This window comes from Homo sapiens, chromosome 20 (assembly GCF_000001405.40).
Source record: "Homo sapiens chromosome 20, GRCh38.p14 Primary Assembly".
In the NCBI taxonomy this organism is placed as follows: Eukaryota; Metazoa; Chordata; class Mammalia; order Primates; family Hominidae; genus Homo; species Homo sapiens.
In genome coordinates, this window is record NC_000020.11 from 13088331 (window position 1) to 13108291 (window position 19961).

General features: G+C 40.0%; 2 protein-coding genes across 7 annotated transcripts in view; one reads left to right on the forward strand and one right to left on the reverse strand.

Moving 5' to 3' along the window:
* The window catches only part of SPTLC3 (serine palmitoyltransferase long chain base subunit 3), a 160132-nt gene that overhangs the window by 79359 nt on the left and 60812 nt on the right, over positions 1-19961 (forward strand). For all 6 annotated transcript variants that reach the window (NM_018327.4, NM_001349945.2, XM_011529279.2 and 3 more), the window contains 2 exons: positions 2753-2877; positions 5154-5247. In NM_018327.4, the coding sequence (NP_060797.2) occupies positions 2753-2877; positions 5154-5247 (219 nt within the window). The remainder of the gene's footprint in view (positions 1-2752; positions 2878-5153; positions 5248-19961) is intronic.
* The window catches only part of TASP1 (taspase 1), a 534161-nt gene continuing 530641 nt past the window's right edge, over positions 16442-19961 (reverse strand). Inside the window, exon 15 of the transcript XR_001754319.3 lies at positions 16442-16927. The gene's annotated coding sequence lies outside the window, so the exon portion shown is untranslated. The remainder of the gene's footprint in view (positions 16928-19961) is intronic.

The following is a 19961-nucleotide window of genomic DNA, read 5'->3' on the forward strand; positions in this document are numbered from 1 at the left end:
TTTGTCTTTGTTTTTGTTTTTTGAGATGGAGTCTTGCTCTGTCGCCCAGGCTGGAGTGCAGTGGCACCATCTCAGCTCACTACAAGCTCCGCCTCCCGGGTTCACATCATTCTCCTGCCTCAGCCTCCCGAGTAGCTGGGACTACAGGCGCCCGCCACCACGCCCAGCTAATTTTTCGTATTTTTAGTTTCACCGTGTTAGCCAGGATGGTCTCGATCTCCTGACCTCGTGATCTGCCTGCCTTGGCCTCCCAAAGTGCTGGGATTATAGGCTTGAGCCATCGTGCCTGGCCTTTGTTTTTGTTTTAAGATGAAGTCTCTCTCTGTCGCCCAGGGTAGAGTGCAGTGGCTCGATCTCAGCTCACCGCAACCTCTGCCTCCCAAGTTCAAGCAATTCTCCTGCCTCAGCCTCCCAAGTAGATGGGATTATAGGCACCCGCCACTGCACCCGGCTATTTTTTTTTTTTTTTTTTGTATTTTTAGTAGAGATGAGGTTTCCCCATGTTGGCCAGGCTGGTCTTGAACTCCTGACCTTAGGTAATCTGCCCGCCTCAGTCTCCCAAAGTGCTGGGATTACAGGCGTGGGCCACGCGCCCAGCCTAGAACACTTGTTTTACTATGCCTTCTAATAACTTTGGGGATAAACAAATTCTAGTTTGAAAAGCAAGGCCCTTCAGTGTGACCTCTCATGAAGGCCACAGATCACCAAGTGCCTCTTCAACATGAAATGCAATATAAATGTTAGAACTGACCATTCAATACCTTCTTACCATTTTAGCACAGTAAGAAAATTAACGTACAGATTTAAATAAATTCTTATATCATACTTTGTATAGTAAACTATGTTGATCCTTAGGCAGAAGAAAGTATGTTTATAGCGGCCCTAAACATGCTAACAATACTTCCGTAACTTAAATCTGCGCAACAGCTCCTACGTTCTGTGTGTGCAAATTACAGCATCTCTCCACTTGTACATTTATCTGTTATGTTATATCATTCAGAAAGCACTGCTCAATAAAAACATGAGGCAAGACGCATGTGTAATTTAAATTTTCTAATAGCCATATTTAATAAGTAATAAAACAGGTAAAATCAATTTAATTATACATTTTCTTTAACACAGTATATGCAGACTATTGCCATTTAAATGTGTAATCACTATAAAAAAATATCGGGCCAGGTGCAGTGGCTCACGCCTGTAATCCCAGCACTTTGGGAGGCCACAGCGGGTGGATTGACTGAGCTCAGGAGTTCGAGACCAGCCTGCGCAACAAGGTGAAACCTCGTCTCTACTAAAATACAAAAAATTAGCTGGGCATGGGGGCATGCACCTGCAGTCCCAGCTACTTGGGAGGCTGAGGCAGGAGAATTGATTGAACCCGAGAGGCTGAGGTTGCAGTGAGTCAAGATCACACTACTGCATTCCAGCCTGGATGACAGAGCGAGATTCTATCTCAAAAAAAAAAAAAAAAAAACAAAACAATGTGCTATTTTACATTCTTTTTGTCATCGTACTATGGCTTCAGAAAATGGTACATATTTTACACTTACAGCACATCTTCATAAAGACATTAAATTTCCAATAATTAATATGAAATGTAATGCTATCAAAAAATAAATTTGCAGTTGGTGAAATGCAGTTTACTATGCTTTAGCTTTACATTTTAAGTTACTTAAAATAAAATAAAATTTGAAATTCAGTTTCTCAATTGCACTAACCACATGTAGCTGGTGGCTACCATATAGGACTGTGCAGACCTAGGAGTTCAAGTGAAAGCAAACAGAAAATACGGGCAGCATCAACATTTGCTGTAGCAAAGCATAAGGGGATTATGTTTAAGAAGGGATCAAAGGGCAAGTATGTAAGAGATTGTAAAGAGATAAAAACTAAACTTTGGAGTTAAACTAGATTATCTCTGTTGCTTTTTATTGGTAACCTCTTAAGCCTCAGTTTTCTTATCTGTGAAGTAAAAATACCTGCATTATTGGGCTTCTAAGATTAAATGAGAGAACCTAAACAGTGAGCTTAACACAGTATCTAGTACATTCCAAAGGTTCAATAAATTATAACTAGTTTTATTGGTATCTATGGAAATCATGGGATCTGTTTTGCATTTAGGTGTGGGAAAACTCTGATGGGGTTATAATTTAATTAATTACTTGTGAGATGTAGAGTAAAAAGAGAGAAGAATTGTGGGGTTTTTTTGTAAATTATATTTCATTTACAGCATGGTGAAAAGTGCACCAGTCATAGGTATACAGCTCAATGGATCTCCACAAAGCAAACATACCTATGTAACAAATGCAGAAATAGAACATTCAGAGAATCTAAAAACCATCCTCATGCTCCTAACAAAAGTAACTACTATCCTGACTTCTAACACTGCAGATCTGTTTTGTCTGGTTGCATATTTTATGTAAACGAAATGATACAGCCTGTACTTTTTTAGATGTCTGACTTTTTTCACTCAACAACAGATTTGTGAGATTTATCCACAATGTTGTGTGGAGCAGTAGTTCATTCTTTCTCATTGCTGTATTGAATTCCACTGTATAAATACCCCACATTGTATTTTTCCATTCTACAATAGTTGAATATTTGGGCTGTTTCTAGATTAGGGCAATGGCAAATCTTCCTGCTACAAGCACTCTTGTATAGGTCTTTTGGTGATGTGTACGTACTGGAATTTGAGTTTTCAATCTTGGCCTTGTTGAAAAGAGAAGGCTCACTTCTCATGTAATTTTATGTGCAGGCACCTTGGATAAGCACAAGGAGTTGGAGGACCTTGTGGCTAAGTTCCTGAATGTGGAAGCAGCTATGGTCTTTGGGATGGGATTCGCAACTAACTCAATGAATATCCCAGCATTAGTTGGAAAGGTGAGAATTGTTAACCTAATTGTCTTCTACTGTATTACTCCTAAGAACTGTAACTCTGAGTAGGTCCTTGTTAGAAGTATGGCTGAGATGGGCACGGTGGTTCACGCCTGTAATCCTAGCACTTTGGGAGCCCAAGGCGGGCGGATCACGAGGTCAAGAGACCTAGATCATCCTGGCCAACATAGTGAAACCCCGTCTCTACTAAAAATAAAAAAGTTACCTGGGCATGGTGGCACGCACCTGTAGTCCCAGCTACTTGGGAGGCTAAGGCAGGAGAATTGCTTGAACCCAGGAAGTGGAGGTTGCAATGAGCCGAGATCGGGCCACTGCACTCTAGCCTGGTGACAGAGTGAGACTCTGTCTCAAAAAAAAAAAAAGAAAAAAAGAAGAAGTATGGCTGAGAAGGTTCTTTTCGTAGGAGAAACTGATTGGATATTGGTATTTTTGAATAAGTATGCCAGCTTAGTCCAGCAAATCTTGTCATGATATTGCTGATTATATAATTGCAGCCCTAGACATGGGTCAGAATTCATCTTCAATGACAGTTTAACAAAGCAGTCATAATTTTGGGCTCCTGAGTTCCCATCTGCAACTTCTCAGAGCTAATATTTATTAAGCATTTATTTGGACAAAATATTTGTCCTACATTACCCATTTATTTTTTCATTCAATAAACCAATTATTGAGAACCTACTATGTCCTCATATAAGGGAAGATACAAGACATACAAAGATGAACAAGACCTATGTATTTTAAATTTATGTAGTTTAGAGTCTAATGGGGGAAACAATATGCTGAATAAAATAGGACAAATACCATAGAAAAGGCATGCCCATATACGAGGAAGGACAAAGAGCTGCCCAAAACCCTTCCTGAGAAAGTCTGCAATGTCTGTGCAAAAGTGGTGAGAGGAGAACAGAATTTTAACAGATAAATAAGTTGAATTATTTAGGACACGAAGAGGGAACAGCATGTGTAAAATACATAGGTTTGGAGGAACTAGAATATGGAATGGTGGTCAAAGAAAAGACCAGAGATGAAAGCAGGTGCCAAATGGCAATGAGCCATGTAATGACAATCATGCTGGTGTTTGAAATTGTTCCTCAGAAAAAAATGGGAAGTTGGCTGGTTCATTGCAAGTAAGCAAGTACATTAATCAAATTTATGCCTTTGAAAATGTGTCTCATCACAACTACATGCAATGTATGGTCTTAGACTGGATTTTGCACCAAACAACATCAAACGAATGATAATGTCTATAAAAAGCTTAAGACATCATTAGAAAAGTTGGGGAAATTTAAATTTGAACTGTCTATCAAATGATAGTATTGTAGAAGCATTGAACTTCTTGGATGTGATCACTGAATTGTGATTTTTTATAGGAGAATGTCCTGTTCTTAGGGAAGGTGAGGTAGAGGCTTATAGATAACTCCTAAATGTTCCGCCAGAAAAATTACAAATATGCATATATCTAGAGTACAAATATATGGGAATTTTTGTGGCTTTTGCCTCAAAAAAACTCAAAGCATGCTGTATGTGAAACTACAGAAATATAATGGAGTATTCAAAGATTCTGGAAGACCACAAAAGACAAAGGTCCACCATAATTTGCCTGCATTTTTGGTATGCTTAAGAAGTTTTACAATTTAGAAATGTTTAGTTTAAAAAGAAGAATACTTTTACAAAGGGTAATTTACAAGCAGTAAGTTAGGCTGACTTTATCCACATACCTCAGACTGAATTGCCATCCATACTTCTCCAAATTCAAAGTTTTTGACTGTAAAACTGAAGTTTTTGCATACATGGGATGTTAATACAGTGGAAAATAAGAATCAGAAGTAAGAGCTTGAATTGTCCTGCACAAAAGACCCTTGCCTTTCAGGAAGAATAACTAAAACTGTTCCAAATAATCTCTCATGGAAGTGCCCCTACAAGTTCATAACCCACCCAAAAATCTACCAGTCTTCCTGTCAGAGATCAACACTTTAGGCTCTACCTGGTGCTTAACAAGGATCTTGGATGAACTTCTCTACTGAAAACTATATGCAAATGTCGCAGTGAACATGTAATCTCTTAAAACAATTCCCATCTCCATCAGCTAACTGCTATACATGATTTTGTCCACATAGACACCAGGTTAAACTCTTGGCCTTTTAAAATTAAAGTGAGTTTTAGAAATTGTGTTATAGGTTTTAGAGTGTCTTCCTGTCCCCACAAGTTGTTTTTCCTTGGTTTTATTTATTGGCTTGTGTTTTGTGTGCTTGTTTTCTGCACAGGGATGCCTCATTTTAAGTGATGAGTTAAACCACACATCGCTTGTGCTTGGGGCCCGACTCTCAGGTGCAACCATAAGAATCTTCAAACACAACAGTGAGTATCAGTGTATTTTCTCAACATGTACTGGATTGCTCCTAGAAGAAAGTAAAGATTATTGATGAGGCTTTGTTCTGCTCTTCAAGGTGACAACGTAGCCTCATGAAACACAATTATGTTTATATTCACTCCTGGCTTGTTAACCTCTGGTGACCTGGAACAAATGGTTGAAATGCATTAAACATCCAAATTGTTAAGTGTAACCCAAACACATTAATGTCACTGTTAGTGGTTTTGCAATGTGGCCTCTAAATACATGATTGATCTCTCAGGACTGCCATTTAATTATCAGAAGTGTTATTACTCTTCCCTTTCTACAGCTCTGCCTTGGGAAAGTTTGAAGACTTAAGTTTTGTGTTAAGGTCAGGTAAAAAATTAGCCTGTTCCTTAGAAGAATGCCTCCTTTCACTTTGCCCACCCACAGATGCTCAGATCCCCACCCAACAAAACCATCTATTCGACTTCATTGAAATGTCCTTTCAGGGTCTGGTTTGTGTGGCTGGGTGGTGAGGAGCAGGCAGAAGGCTATTTCTTCTTTTAGGGTCTTGATGAGGCAGCATGGAAATTATCAGGAAACACTTTGAAGGAGGTGGATGGTGGTGGACATCTGAGTTCTCTCGTCCAGCTCTGCTCCTGACTTACTGTGTCACTTTGTATAAATCCTTTCATCTTTCTTGCATTCATTTTCCTCATCTGTAAAATGAGGTGTCGAACTCTGTGATAGGTAAGGATCCTCCTGGTTGAAAGGTTTTGATTCTAATTTGTTATTGTCGTTGGAAAATTCCCTTCTTTCTGTGCATGTGTACATGCATGCACACACATGCACTCACACACATGCACACACGTGTACACACACAAATTTGTTTTCTCTTTCTTCCTTACCACCTTTCTCTCCTGCCTTCCCTTCCCCTTCATTTTTCCCTGTTCCTCTTTCCTAGCTCTCCCCTCCATCCTCCAAGAAGGTAACAAAGTTTGAAGTGACAAGAAGAAGGCTGACGGAGAACTGAGGAAGAATTGTTTCAATTCTGTTCTGCCCACCTCGCAGCAATCTTAAACCAAAGAACAATTGTCCCATGGGGGAGGAAAGAAAATGCATGGGAGTATTCTCAAGTGAACCCCCTTGTCTAACTCGTAGAGTTGTTCAAATGAAAAATCTATGGCTCTCACTGAGTGGGGTGAGGTCTGGCTATGCCTTACTGAGCCGCTTTCAGTAGCTATGTGAAGATGAACAGTTAGAGTGCAGTTCAGGACCAGACCTTCCAGAAGAGCCAAACTATGGCCCCCTCAGACTTATAGGGTGGCTATAACATCTGGCTTAATGTCATTCAAAATACACTGACCTCATTTGTCCATTTTGCATCAAACACTCAATTTCGGCTTTAGACTTGGATAAGCCAAGTTAAATTCTTTCAGTTCTGCCTGAAATATCATGGATTGTCACATCTAGACTCAAATCTTTGGCAGTGTTGGGAATTCATGTTTGGAGTAGACGTCTTTCAAGGCTCCAAGTAAGTTTATTAAGAGACTACAAGGAATGCCTTTGGTATTAGCACAAGTGTGTTGTGCCCTTTGATTCTTCAGCATGACAGATGATTGCTGATCAAAGGCTCTGCCTACTTGGCAAAGGATAAAGGGGATAGCTAGGCAGTCATTCAACTGTAGTTCCATCTATGTATGTGGTTAAACGTGATAATCTCACTTCCAGAGAGACGTAGTCGGGGTGTTATCTCTTTGGAACAGATCAACATGATCATCATCAATGTAAACCCCTTGTTTCTTCACTCCATTCTACTGCGTCAGTGCTCATAATGCTAGCTGCACAATAGTGGCATCTAGGGAACATCCATAAAAGATCAATGACTGTGCCCACCTCAGATCAACTCAGTCCAAATATCTGTCATATAGATAGATAGGTAGGTAAGCATACATACATATATAAATGACCAACTGGGAGACTAAACGTAAGCTTCATTAATCATTGACCAAGCATTCCCTATTCTCCAGCTTAAGGCTTTTAGGGTAGAAATCCTCCAAGATGACCATCACTGGGTTGGGGCCAAAACACCTGCATTTTTTTCTGAGTTCCCCAGATGATTATAATGTATACTGAGAGATATAAGACCTAGAATCTTATTTTTTGAACCTCCTTTAATCTAAGCTGTCCCCAGACCTTGCCAGTGTGCCCTGGGATATATCACCAGACACCTGCCATATTAATTATCCTCACTCTTCCTCTCTCTACTCTTTTACACTCTTGATCGAAAGTTGGCAGAGAATGTGTTCCAAGCCAACATTTATTAAGTGTTTATTATCTATTCTGATTCAGGCACTATGTTAGCCCTTTGAAGGACTATAAAAGTGATAAGTAATATCTTAGCTATCTGAGGGCTTGGAATCTAGTAGGAAAGGTAGATATGCATGCAAGTTACTGTATAAAGTGAAAAGGGCCATGATGACATCAAGCAGTGGTTAAGAGTATAGGCTTTGGCTACGGTGCTTTCTCACACCCACTAAAATAGCTAAAATTTAAAAGATGACAACACCAAATGTTAGCAAGGCTATGGAGCCACCACTAGAATGCTCACCCATTGCCTGTGGAGTATAAAATGGCACAACTTCTTTGGAAAGTTATTTGGCAAGGTTTTATAAAGCTAAACATACTCCTTTACTATGACCCAGAAATTCTATACCTAGATATTTACCCAAGAGGAATGAAAGTGTGTGTCCATTAAAAGTCTTGTACAAGAATGTTCGTAGCATCTTTATTCATAATAGCCAAAATCTGGAAACAATCCGAATGTCTACCAACAGGATAGTAGAAAAAACTATTATTTATTTATACAATAGAACACTACTCCACAATTAAAAAAAAAAAGCAACAAGCTACTGCTACACATAACATGGCTGACTCTCAAGAAAAATTATTTTAATTATTTTGAGTGAAATAAACCAGACACAAACGTGTATACATACTGTCTGAGTTCATTTGTAGTCAATTCAAAAATAGACAAAACTAATCTATGATGATAGAAATTATAACAATGCTTGTCTCTGGTTTGGAGGGAGGGAATTGGTGAGAAGAGGCATAAAAGAACTTTCTGGGGCAATCTTTTGATGGGGTGATGGTTACATTCTTATTTAAATTCATCGAATTGTACACTTAATATTTGTATGTTTCCCTGTAAGTAAATTTAAGCTAACAATATTATTATAATCATACAACATATATAAAATTAAAACCATTGCTCCAATATTTTAAAACAAAGTACAGGCTTTGACCCATGCATTTGTGTCCTCATCCTACAGCTTATTAGACTGTGAAACTGTGGTCCTAGACACACTACTTTACCTTCTGGATCTCAATTTTTCTATTCCAAAAATGAGGATAATTATGATACACAAATAATACTGTGGTTGGAAAAGGCATATAAGTGCTTAGCACAATGCCTGGCAATGGGAACTACTGAATTATTTGTAGCTGCTATGTTATTACTATTATTACCCTCGTCATTGTCATCAGTGTCACTAAGGGACAGTAGAAAACATTATGGAAAAATGAAGAGTCTATTTCTCCTTGGGAATTGCATAAAATGGATGGCATTTGCAGTAGATGCTGAAGGATTAAGATAATTCTAATCAGGGAAGAAGAAAAGATTATTTCAAGCAGAAAACTAATCTGGAGCATGCAGAGAGCAGCAGGACTTTCAGCATGACCTGAACAATCATGCTAAGAATGTATGTACTTCAAAAAGCAACAAAAGGCACCTGGGAGTTCTGCTTCTTACCATGCTGTTCCCCAGCTAAACTGGTTTTTCTCAAAACATTTAGTTGCCTTCTCCATATGTCTAGTAGAGATGGAAACAGAGACACAAGCTTTAAGTTAAAGCTTTGAACAGCACTGGATGAAAAAAAAATAATAATTCTGAAGATCGTCTGTCTCTACAGCAGTGTTCTCTTAGAATTTCTCTATTCTCTGTTTTTGTGTTGTTTTGTTTTGTTGTTGTTTTTCCATTTGCTATTACCTGGAAGTCATCAGTGAGGGGCAGATGGACCCTGTGTGTCTCCAGATATGATACCCTAAAAAGCCTTTGACATCATTTATATGGGATGCAGGTTAGAGCACTGAATCCTGTCACCAGACAACCCCAAATTAGGAATGTTCTATTTTTAAAAAGGGAATTGTATTCTCTAAACATGTCAATACCATAAGAGACAGTGAAAGGCTGAGGAAATGGCCCAGATTAAAGGATAAGAAAGAACAGTATCAGCCAAGTGCAATGGCGGGTCCTAGACTAGATTCCAAAAGAGACAGGAAAATGCATAAAGGAAATTACTAGGCCAGTTTGAAAAATTGGAAGATGCATGGTAAATTAGATAATATTAGATAAGAATAGTGTATCAACATTAAAAATACTGAAGTGGATCATTTCACCATAGTCCAGGGGTAGACAACTTATGACCTGTGAACTAAGAACACTTTTACATATTTAAAGCGTCGTATAAAGAAAAAGAAGACTACGCAACAGAGACTGTATGTGGTCCACAAAGCCTAAAGTAAAACTATCTGGCTTTTTTATAGAAAAGGTTTGCTGAATCCTGCTGTAATTGTATGAGAATACCCTATTCTTAAAGGGGAGAATACCCTATTCTTAAAGAAGACACATTGAATTATTTAGGGGTAAAGACCATGATATATGCAACTTTGTCTTAATTCAGGGAAACAATTGTGTGTGTGTGTACACACACATTTAAACACAGGTGGACAGACATAGCTATAAATATGCATAGACGAGATGATTAAGCAAATGGGATAAAGTGTTAATAGGTGAATCTAGGTTAAAGTAAGTGGGTGTTCTTTGCAGTACTCTTATTCTTGGAATTTTTCTATTACGTTTCAAATTATTTCCAATAAAATTTTCCCTTAAATTCTTAACTTTTTGCTGAAATTACAATTTAAGGGTTAAATTTTATCTCCCAATTTTACAAAGCTCTCAAAACATTCAGTAACTTATTCTTCATGCCCTCCCTTTGTACTCATGAAAAATAGATAATAGTTACTATCTCTATCCTAACAATGAATGTTAGCTGTTGTTATTTAGACTAGCAACTAACATTTATTGAGAAAGTCCTCTGTGCCAGATGCTGAGGTAATGGCCTTCTCTAATTTATTTAGCCCTGTGAAGAATTCCATGAGGTAGGAACTGCTTTACAAATGAGAAGATTCAGGCTTAGAGTTATTAAGCAACTTGTCCAAGATCATACAACTGATTAATAGTGAAGCCTGGAGCTATCTGGGTAAATACTGCCCTTCCCAACTAATTGAGAATTGGGTGCAGCTAGGGTCAGAGTCTGTCCTCTAACCCATGGGAGTCTATTATGCCTGAGCTGCTGTTGCTCTTCTGCTCTCTTTGGTAGGAAAAATAATGCTCACCCTCCAAAGACGTCCATGCCCTCATCCCCAGAACCTACAAACATTATGTTGCCTGGCAAAGGGAATTCAGGTTGCAGATGGAATTCAGGCCGCAAAACAGCTAACCTTAAAGAGACTATCCACGTAGGTCTAGTGCAATCATAGGGTTGTTAAATGTGGAAAAGAGTGGCAAAAGAGTGAGGATCAGGGCAATGCAATGTGAGAAAGACTTAAAGAGCCCTTGCTGGCTTTGAAGATGAAAGAAGACCACAAGCTAAGGAATGCAGGAAGCATTTCCCTAGAAGCCGGAAAAACCAAGGACATGGATTCTCCCCTAGAGCTTCCAGACAGAAATACAGCCCTGCCAATATCTTGATTTTCACCCAGTCGAACCCATTTCAGACTTCTGACCTCTAGAACTGTAAGATAAGTTTGTGTTGTCTTAAAGTCACTAAGTGTATTCTAACTTCTTACAGCAGCAATAGGAAACCACTAGGCTTTCATTCACAGGTGCACAGAACCCTTGTTCCCACACACCCACATGTTTAATACAACTTTGAAACACGAGCATATTCTGCTGCTGTTGTATTTACATCACAAAAACAGACCCCTTGAGAGCAGTTATTTCCAGGGTCCTCTGAATGACTTCTTTCTTGAGAGGTGAGGGAAGCAAGAAGTATAAGGACAGGGAAAGAACTGAATGGAGTTATAATATGTACAGCATCAGATGCTGCTGGCTCTGTTTCTTGCTCTGCTATTCCCAAGATAATACTAACTGCTTTAGTATGCAGTGATGTCTTAATCCTTCATATGCATCCACACAGATTGGACTGATAATACAGGGATTGTTTAGGATCTGCAGAAACTGTATGTGCATGACACACACAACCAGTCCAGATAGAAGCTAATAACTTGTGAGACAGGTTTTAAGAATGGCCACCTGCACCAGAGCATTCTTAAACAATGGGATTGTGGAATTTCATGCAACTCTAAACTTGTTCTGCTCTCACAGACTGTCCTCTGCTTCATGTCCTCTCCTTACACCTTAACAATACTCTTCTGCCTGTTGGAGAGGAGGAGGTTCTATTTTTTAGCAGTACCAATGGAAGTGGACATCCTTTGTTATTTAAGCCAACTATAAATGAATCAGAATTCTGGGCCCTTGGATTTTTTAATTCTCTGTAGGAAAAAATACCTAAGATATACTTAAACCTACTCAGACCATCATAATAAACTTTTAAGCCTGTGTAAATAGGCTTGACCATTAACTCCAAAGCTATTCATTATTATTCTCTCTCCATTTCCCACAAAGCCAGAATGAATACCTGAGAAGACTAAATAGAAGGAAAGTTCTGCAAGGGAGCAAAATCAGAACACCGAAAGTCTATTTCCTAAAAAAACAGGAAAAGACTCAGAAGTGCATTTTTAGTGATGCTAAATTCAAAACTGGGTACTAGAGCCAGGCCTGGTGGCTCATATCTGTAAGCCCAACTACTCGGTTAGCTAAGATGAAAGGCTCACTTAAGGCCAGGAGTTCAAGACCAGCCTGGGCAACATAGCAAGACCTCATTTCTTAAACAATAACAACAACAACAAAAAAAACACCTGAGTACCAGAATCTTTTATCACCATAGATTAGTTCTTCTATAATAGTACATGTGGATAATAGCTGAGTCATAACTACTCTATCATTTATTCAGCTTTCACTGGTATTAAGTTCTTAGCTAACTGGTTCATTTAATTTTAACAGCAACCCAGATACAGAGTTCTTTTCATTATCCTCATTTTATTAAAGAGAAAACTAATCCTCAAAGTGATTATATGACCTGCCTAAGGTCAGGCAAATGATAAATCACAGGGGTCAAAATGCAGACCCAAGTCTGTTGCTTTTGTCTTGGTTTGCTTCCCCCAGCAGCAGACCTTGAGACACGGATGTAATCACAAGTCACTTATTCAGAAAGTGATGCCAGGAAGCACCAGTAGGTGAGCAGGGCACAGGAAGCACCAGTAGGTGACCAGGGCACAGGAAGGCAGCCAACATGGTGCATTGTCAAGCAAGTGACCAGAGTGGACAACAGGACCTCGATTCTACTAGGAAACTCTGGGTGCCAGGATAGATAACTCACTGTTATCCCTACCTGTGGGCTGAGGGAGCTGAAGTATTTACCCACAAATTCCCATTTGTGACTGATTGAAGGCTGCTCCCTAATCAGGCTATGTTCCCACAGCCAGAAAAAGAGCTCTTAGGCAAAGAATGGCCTGTGTTTGCATGAAGAAGCTGGGCTGAGAGGGTATAGGCAGGATGTGCACAGCACTTGTTAACACTCTTAACCACTAGCTGAGTCCAGCTATTTGCTGCCAGGCCATATGTAGGAGTCAGAAAGCTATGGTCCCTTGTGTAAAACTCAGTCCAGTGTGATGGCTAATGGAGCCCTATCCTGTTAGTAGCCTCAATTTCAATTCAGAATGCTGAAGTTTGGCCTCTGCATTCTTGCTCGCTGAGTATTAAAAAGATCTCTTTGCATTTTCTACTGTGGGCAGCTTCAGGGACATAGCCAACCCTCAGGCTGCCCTTGTGCTATCCAGCCATTCTCCAGCCATTTCACGGCCTCAGCTACAGAGTCAGCTGCAACCAGGAACCAACACATTTGTTCTCCATGGTGTTTCTGGTGCATTTTGAGGAAATGAGCAAATAATGAAATTATTTTTCCCCAATATTTCTCAGGCTTTCATATGCACACGAGGTACTTGGGGGCTCTTGTTAAAATGCAGACTCTGAGTGAGCAGGTCTGGGTGGGGGCCTGAGATCCTGCATTCTGACAAGCTCCTGGGTGCCGCTGCTGCTACTGCTGCTGCTGCTGTCATGCAGAACCACACTCAGAGCAGCGAGACTGCAGGCAACCTCGGTCCTCAAGTGAGTCACTAAGACTTTCTTAAGCTAGCCTCGGAGAAAAGCTGTTTCTTCAGCTTAGAGAGTTGTCATGAGGTCAGAGGTCCAGGCAGGTCAAGAATTTGGAGTAGTTTAAAAGAAAAAGTGGAAAGGAAGAACCAAAACTCTGCCTACTAAAGACCAAGAGGAGGAAGAAAAAGAAGGCCAGTGTTTGCCAGAAAACTCTGAGCACTACCTAGTCTGCAGAACAAGGGCTCGAGAGGTTGTTTAAGTAAAAAGTTAAACCCGTAAACATGGCTTAGACTACTTTGCAAGCCATGATCTTTTATATTTCAATGTCCAACTTGGATTTCTAAACTAGGTTGCTTAATAAAGCCAGCAATTGCCTCCCTATCTTTTAATGATAATTAAAAGGTATTGAGCCTTCATTGTAATGAGCCATTTACATTCACCAACTCATTTTAGCCTCATAACTACAAAATGAATCACCTGCTACTCTTATCTCCTTTTTGACAGATGAAGAAGAAACATCTATAAAGTGGTGAAGTGACTTAGATACACAGAGCTAGTAAGAGTCAGAGCTGGTAAACCTAGGAAGTCTGACTCCAGAGTCTCCGTTTTTAAGCATGACACGCTACCTCCTTTCCTGGCCTTTTCTACCCTCTGTTTGCCCCTGGATGGCAGAGTGATGAATGTAATACTTGGTAGCCTCCATCTCCCGTACACCTCTCCCAGGGCCAAGGCAGTTTTGGTTAGGTAGATGCTGCCAGCACCCACCTGACTGAGAATCCTAACCACTGGGCTCCTACACTGTTCCCTGAATCATGTCTCACCTTGGTGCATTGAGCCCCCTCATTTAGAGATCCCATCTCAGTACTTTGTCTCATTCCACAATCTCCTTCCTGAGGATCAGAATCCTATGCATTACATCAAGCCCAGAGCCCAAGCCTATTGGACACCCTGTCCCTGGTTTCTAGGTTCTGCCTGTCCTTCATCTCATGCCTACAGAGTCAAAAGTTGCTGCAATTACCCCCTCCCCCTGCAGGGTAAACAGGCCCTGTCCCTAGCACCTGCCTCATCCATAAGCCCAACCCAGGTCACCTGCTCTCAGCTGTCTTTTGCACTCTTCCAAGAAGATCCCTTTGCTTCTTTCAACTGCCTAAGGCTGTGCGACATCTATCCACATGTTTAAAGAGCCATCCAGAAAACCTGAGCCAAAGTCCTTGCACAATCTGCTTTATAAAACTTAAAGGCACCAGATTTTCAGTCAAAAATGCCCTCTGTGATCTCATGGAGAACAGACCCCATAAATGTGACTTTCAAAAAATAATTGTTTTGCTTGACAAAATTGGTCATTGTGATTTTGTTTCCGCCGAAAGGCTAAAAAAGGGGGACAGTCCTCCCCACCACCATCTTAAAAGTAAGAATAATTTCTTTGTCATCATTCATAGCTATTTAAATACCCGCTACTTACTATTTCACATTTGGGCTGAATCTTGAAGGATGAAACTGCATGTCCAAAGGAATAAGAGGAGTGGATATAGAGATGGGGGGTAAGGGACTAGGAACAGTAAAAAGTGACATTCATTCATCATCCATCCATCTTTTCATTTACAAAATATGAGTGCCGCTGATAGGCAGACACAAAAATATTTTTGCTGAGCAACCCAGAGAGTAGGGAACCAAAGGGTGTCTCTAAATGCAGATGAAAGTAGTTTTTGTGGGGTCATGGATGACAAAGAATAAACCACCAACCACACCAGGAGCATATGGAAAGTGGAGGCTGAGTTTCAGCCCCAATCTCGCATTCCTGGATCCATAGGAGAGGGAGCAGGGGCACTGAGAAATGGGCAGTGAGTGAAGATCTCACAGTAGATCTAGGCCTTTGGAAAACCCACAGCTGCACAAGAGAAGAGAAAGGAGGAAGCCCTGATGTATGCAACAGTGTTGCCATTTGACAGTGAAATAAGAGGAAAGCTAAATGTCTGGGTTTTTTCTTCCGGAAGACACACTATGAACTATGCCCTACCTTCTTGGAAGATTCTGGGTCCCTTGCTGCCTTGTGCTTTCTTTTCACAAAACTGCATCTTCAGCTTTTCCAGATCCAGGAGGCTTGCTATTATTAGGGTTTTGAATGTAAGAACAGGCACAGGCTCAGGCTGGCTAAGAGCATTTGTCACCTAAGCCTGATTGTAGCTTTGGACACATAGTTGGATTATTCCAAGTATTTAGTAATTCAGTAATCCAGTTAACTATGCTGGCAAAAGGCTAGGACTGTTTTGCACTAGGCACCAGAACATGGTCTCCACATTTTCATTTCTTATAGCTAGATATTTATAACCATCTGATAGGGTTTGGCTGTGTCCCCACCCAAATCTCATCTTGAATTGTAGCTCCCATAATTCCCATGTGTTGTGAGAGGGACCCAGTGGGAGATAATTGAATTATGGGGGCGGTTCCCCCTATACTGTTCTCGTGGTAGTGAATAAGTCTCACGAGATCTAATGGTGTTATAAAGGTTTTCCCCTTTCACTTGGCTCCCACTCTCTCGTCTGCCATCACGTAAGATGTGCCTTTCCCCTTCCGCCATGATTGTGAGGCTTCCCCAGCCACGTGGAGCTGTAAGTCCATTAAACCTCATTTTCTTTATAAATTACCCAGTCTCAGGTATGTCTTTATCAGTAGCGTGAAAATGGACTAATACACCACCAAACCAGCTCAATCCTTTTAGTCCTCTACAAACCAAAAGAAACCTCCTTAGTGAGTCAAATTTTGTGCTGAGTAACACCAAGGCATTATTAATGCTCAAATAGTGGTCATTTTAAGTCCGTGGTGTGTCATTGTGACTCAAGAACCACACTGTACCATAGCACCGTGTGTGTGTGCCTAGATGGTGTCAAAATTATACTTTTATTTTAATTTCCGTATCTCAGAATTTTCTTATTAAATCAACAAGAACAGGTTTGTTTGGAGGGCTTTTGTTTGGGGAACTTTTTTTAACAAAACTTCTGGCATTGTTTTTTTCATCTGCAAAAAACAAAAACCTAACAGTCCTTCCCTACTTCTCAGAGGTGTCATGGGGATTAACATAATGCAAGTGTAAGTGCCTTAATAAGCATCATTATTTTAAAAAAAATCCCTTGCAGATGTAAGCATGCAGCTTGCTGAAACGGTAGAATCCCATAAGGCCTACAGAACATAAATCACAATCCCTTAAATCTGCGGGTTTGTAACCCACGCACTGTAGCCTTGTAGAACGACAGAGAACCAGAGAGGAACATGCCAGGGGCTAAGGTGGGGCCAGAATCCAGGCCGAGCGCAGTCTTCCCTTTTCCTGTGTAGCTTCTGTGATTCTAAGAGGTCGGAGAGTTCATCCCCTGCAGGAGGAAAAAAAAAATGGCTAATTGATTTTCCTTCTGCTCAAGAATCCTGGTGTGTTGACCCTGGGGGGCTGTGAACTCCACCAAAAGCCACTCCCATGGCTATCTCCATTCAAGTCAAACACAACGAAGTCCCTGACTTGGAAAAGACTGGGATTCCTCTTGCTTCCCTCCGCAAAATGTATAAAACACAGCGCGGCCACCGAAAGTCTTGTTTTCATGTCTTGCGTGTTATTTTTAAAAATGGAGAAAAGCTTCTCTTTAGGACTCGTGGTGTTCATTTTAAAATTCTGGATTAATCCATCGTGTTTATGTGACCTTTTTGGTGCAAAAACAACACAGTGGCCTCTGAATTTACATATTTTTTCCAAATCTTAGAATATTCATTTTAAAATGACTACTAATTTAGTTCACTTGGGTTTAGTTTTTATTCCAGTGTCGTCGGAGCCACATTTACCATCTATCATTTCTGCACAAAAACTTATAAATTCCAAGTCCCAAAGGGAAAACATTCTTAACAGGAATGCTTTTATTCACCATCTCTTTATTCCATTCAGAGGATTTGGTTATAGAAGATGAATAATAGTATAAAATATTATAGACATAATAAATAAAAGATTATAGGAAAGGAAGACTGGTTCTCCAAGTCGCAAGGTTTTCTTCAATATTTTAGGAACTCTGCCTAAAGCAAAAGTGAAAAGAAGATACCCAAATAGGTGAAAGTTTATTAACTGAAAATTTCAAAACAAGAAAGCCGCTTTTTGTTTCCTTGGCTGCCATCTAGTGGTTAATAATGTACGCTAAAACACGCTCTTGGGAACGTTCAAAAAATATCTATCTGCTCGTTTTAAAACAAAACAAAAGATACCATCAATTTTTGAAAATATATTGCAGGTAGGAGATATTTATCTTTTCTAATAATTCTTATTTCTATCCACAAGTGGCATTTCCTTGCCTGTCTCCTAGTCTACGTTCTTTCTCCAGGAAAAGAACATTGATGCAATTATTAGGTAATGATTGAGCCTAGTACTGTGTACTAAGACTAGGGCGAGAAGGATGAGGACGAGGTCCCTGACTTCATGGAAGAGAGACATGAAAGCAAAAAACGAACATCGCGATGAGTGCTTAAAAAATAATAGACAAGTCGGGAGGGACACCAAGGAGGAAGCCCTTAACTCTGTTCTGTATTATTGACGAGAAGAGTTTGGGTTAAGACTTCAGTGATGAGTGAGCATTCTCCAGACAGACAAGAGGAAAAAAAGCATGGAGGAGAATCAGGAGGCTGTGTGTTGGGGGATGTTGACAAACTATGTCAGAAAGACAGGCAGAGGCTATATCAGGAAGGGCCATTCGAGATTGTATTAGGCAACTATTACTGGAACAAACCTCAGTTGCCAATAATAATCAGCAAGTATTTCTCACTGGAGGCTGCAGGTGAGCTGGGGTAACCGTGCCCTACGTGCCATTAATCCTCTCCCAGGGCCAACCTGAGACCAGGGGGCTAGCCTGGGCATTTTCTTTTCCTGTCACTAGCAGAAGCACAAGAGAAAGAGTAGAAATGCATAAGACCTCTTCAGATCTAGGTTTGGAACTAGCAAACTGTCTCTTCTCTGTATTCCGTTAGCCAAAGCAAGTCACTTGGCTGAACCCAAGCCAAGGGGCAGGGAAACGTTCTCCACTGGTGAGAGGAAAGGACTGCAAAGTCACAGAAGAAGGAACTCAAATGAGGTGGAAAATGGGCCAGTAATGTAGTCTGCAGCAAGTTCCATCTTGGAAATGGGTTTGAGGTTCCCATATTTGTCTAAAAAATGGTAAGAAAAACATTATATCGATCAAAGTAGAGGTCTCGCTTTGCGTTATGGGTTCCAGACCCCAGGGATACTGAGCATACAAACGTCTGGGCCCTGACCCACACCAACTGATTCAAAATCTCTGAGTAGAAATTTCGAGAATCTGCATTTTAACTGGTTACCCAGATGATTATTTCTATTCATCCTGAAGGTTGAGAACCACTGGAAGATTAATGAGAAAATAGAAAAAAAAGTCAAGGAGAAAACATAAAAGGAAAATGGGTTAAAAGAGGAAATAGTGCTCACAAAGAATACTAGAAATAGTGGGAAAAGGAATAAGAAAAACTAATGAAAAATGGTGTCCAGATGGCAGAGGGAAGAAGCTTAAAAGATAAGTGTGTGTTGAATTGTGTCAAATGCTGCCCACGGTCAAGTAGAACAAGAACTGAAGAAAGCTCTGTAAATTTGTCAATTAGGTAATATTATGTGAAAAGAACACAATAGTGATGCCAGGATATCAGGAGGCCTGTTTTGCAGATAAAAAGAGAAAAAAACAAAGAAAAGGAAAGTGGCATGAAATAAAACAAAGATCCACCATTCTTCCAATTCTTCTTTCACGGGTCCTTACGATCTTGGTGAAATTGATTAATTCCACATTTAAACTGACAAAGCACCTAAAGAGTTAGTTTCTGGCTAGTGATTAAAGAAAGGAAAGGAAAATGACCTTTTTTTTTTTTTTGTATCTGTTGGTTCTGATAACATGCCAGATATTATTGGTAGCATACAGGTAGCATACTATATCTAATACCTAAGGCTTTATATATTTGAATAAAGAATTATTCCCTTAATTCTTCATTATTTCATTATATATTTCCTTTATTTTTTCATTATTTATGTGATGTTTTCTTAAGGATGTTAAAGGAAGTCAAATAGTGTATTAACACTACTGTTTGGATTTCCAAGAGATCTTGCTAGTATGCAGCATCTTATTCATGTCACATGCTTTTTCTGAATTTCAGGACCCGATACCCAGTCTCTAGTGGGTGGATGCTGAGGACAGCTTGGAAGGTGCCATGCTAACAGGGGCCTCTCAGAGATGAGGTTCTGATATTGCACTATCAAATTCTGACTTGTCCTATCCCACTCCAAGTCATAGGAAGTCACCTTTATTTAAATGTGGTTTGCTTAAATGTACTTGATAATTAAAAAGAAACACACACACACAAATATATTCACAACTC